We start from the raw sequence: 2474 nt of genomic DNA, 5'->3' as shown, positions 1-2474 counted from the left end.
TTTTCTTAAGGCTTCATGGAAGGCCGGGCACGGCGGCTCACACCTGTAATCCCAGCACTTTGGGCGGCAGAGGCGGGCGGATCACGAGGTCAGGAGATCGAGACCACGGTGAAACCCCGTCTCTACTAAAAATACAAAAAATTAGCTGGGCACAGTGGCGGGCGCCTGTAGTCCCAGCTACTCGGGAGGCTGAGGCAGGAGAATGACGTGAACCCGGAAGGCGGAGCTTGCAGTGAGCCAAGATCCCGCCACTGCACTCCAGCCTGGGCGACAGAGCGAGACTCCGTCAAAAAAAAAAAAATACTTCATGGAATAGAATTACATGTAATCAGAATGACTACATAAGACCCTTTTCTGGTAATGAAAGCATGGAGTCTTAACCAAAAAGCTAAGCAGAATTGTTAGATCTTTTGGTTTCTGTCATAATGCACTATTGGAACTTCAAGTAGATATAGTACATTAATATGAAATACTTTGAAATACACCATCTTCTAAAAAAAGGCACTTACACAAAAATCATGTAACACTAGGTAGGATGTTGAAATGACTGGTATGCAATATTTTTTTAAAGACTTCATTTTTGGTCAGCATAAGTTTTCTTTAAATATTTTTCTGTTTCCAGTTGGACTTCACTTTGAGGCTTAACATATCAAAGTGAGTATAAAGTTCTACAATTTAGTCATTGTGGATTTTATGTCATTTATGATGAAAATGGAAATGTGTAGTTAAGAAAATTTTCTTCTTCTGTAACATCTAACTCTTCATCCTCATCATCTTCTGCTTGTTGATCCTTTCTTAGTCGACAAGTGGATACCTGTCTTGTTCCAGATACACACTTAGCTGACAGTGATCTCTGAAGAGGTGACTTTGAATTCGCTCTTACAGTATCTAAACAAGATGAATAATCTGGTGCATACAGAGAATTTCGGAAAACCTCTAAATCTTCATCTTCATCAATGTTTTGTATATTCCGGTAGGCAGCAGTGTAGACCTCTAAAGCTTTGCCGTGAAATAACATTTCGATTGTGATAAATTCAGAAAATATAGTCTTTATATCCTTCATTTTCTGCCTTTCAAAGTTGTTAATAGTTTCCTCCAGATGACGACTTGTTCGGCTAGCATCCATTGCAGTTCTCTGTAATTCCGTTTCTGCCTGTGAAATAACATGTCGATCAGATGGGTTTCGCTGACGTGTTCTTTCTAACTGAGTTAATTGCTTAGCTTCTCGATTCCTTGCTGTGAATGTTGCTTTGAGGTCATCCCGTTTCATTTTCACAATGGTCCCATAAGCTTTCAAGGGTTCAACTACTTTGTTTTGTTTTGTTTTTTTGAGACGGAGTCTCGCTCTGTCACCCAGGCTGGAGTGCAGTGGCGCGATCTCGGCTCACTGCAAGCTCCGCTCCCCAGGGTTCACGCCATTCTCCTGTCTCAGCCTCCCGCGTAGCTGGGACTACAGGCGTCTGCCACCTCGCCCGGCTGATTTTTTGTATTTTTAGTAGAGACGGGGTTTCACCGTGTTAGCCAGGATGGTCTCGATCTCCTGACCTCGTGATCCGCCCGCCTTGGCCTCCTAAAGTGCTGGGATTACAGGCGTGAGCCACCCACCGCGCCCGGCCCAGGGGTTCAACTACTTTGGCTTCAAGTCTTTCAACCTCTGCTTGTCGATAATCCTGAAGTTTGGCAAACTCATCATCAAAGTTCATCAGGCCCAGCTTTAAATGTGGGGTCTCTGTAGCAGCATACGCATTGATTTCATTCACCAGGTGGTCTGCTTTGTCTCTCAGCCTGGCAGTTTTCCGCACATAGGCAGCGAAGATTTGGCACAGTTCTCCAAAATGCTTCTCCACATTTGAGACAGCTGTTTGCAGTTGTTTCGTTTGAGCGTTCCGATTTTCCAGGGTGCACCTCATCATGCTGCCTCGCGCACGGCAGGGGACCTTGCGGGGGCCCAGTATTTGCTGCTTTAAGCTGCTAAATTTGGGGTAATTTGTTACCCAGTGATAGATAACGAATGCACCTGTGAACAGATGATCCCACCTTGTGGTCCTAGATGTCTTGCTGCCTTTGATGGTGTTTTTCTAACTTTTTTTTTTTTTGGACATTTAAAATATACAGTAAAGTCAAAAGATTACACAGTGAGCACCCACATACCCACTACCTAGATTCTACCACTCACATCTTTCTGTGGCTTTTTTTTTTTTTTTTTTTTTTATTGAGATGGAGTCTCGCTCTGTCTCCCAGGCTGGAATGCAATGGCATGGTGTCGGCTCACTGCAACCTCCACCTCCTGGGTTCAAGTGATTCTCCTGCTTAGCCTCCCGAGTAGCTGGGATTACAGGCACCCACCACCACACCTGGCTAATTTTTGTATTTTTAATAAAGACGGGGTTTTACCATGTTGGCCAAGCTGGTCTCGAACTCCTGACCTCGTGATCCGCCTGCGTCGGCCTCCCAAAGTGCTGGGATTACAAGCA

The 2474-nt window shown here is 44.6% G+C and overlaps 1 pseudogene; it reads right to left on the bottom strand.

Moving 5' to 3' along the window:
- Positions 1 to 377: 377 nt before the first annotated feature.
- On the bottom strand, positions 378 to 1951 carry CIBAR1P1 (CIBAR1 pseudogene 1; annotated as a pseudogene).

Source organism: Homo sapiens, chromosome 15 (genome assembly GCF_000001405.40).
Source record: "Homo sapiens chromosome 15, GRCh38.p14 Primary Assembly".
Lineage (NCBI taxonomy): Eukaryota > Metazoa > Chordata > Mammalia > Primates > Hominidae > Homo > Homo sapiens.
Note: the sequence above shows the minus strand (reverse complement) of the source record. Positions and strands in the feature narration are given on the sequence as shown.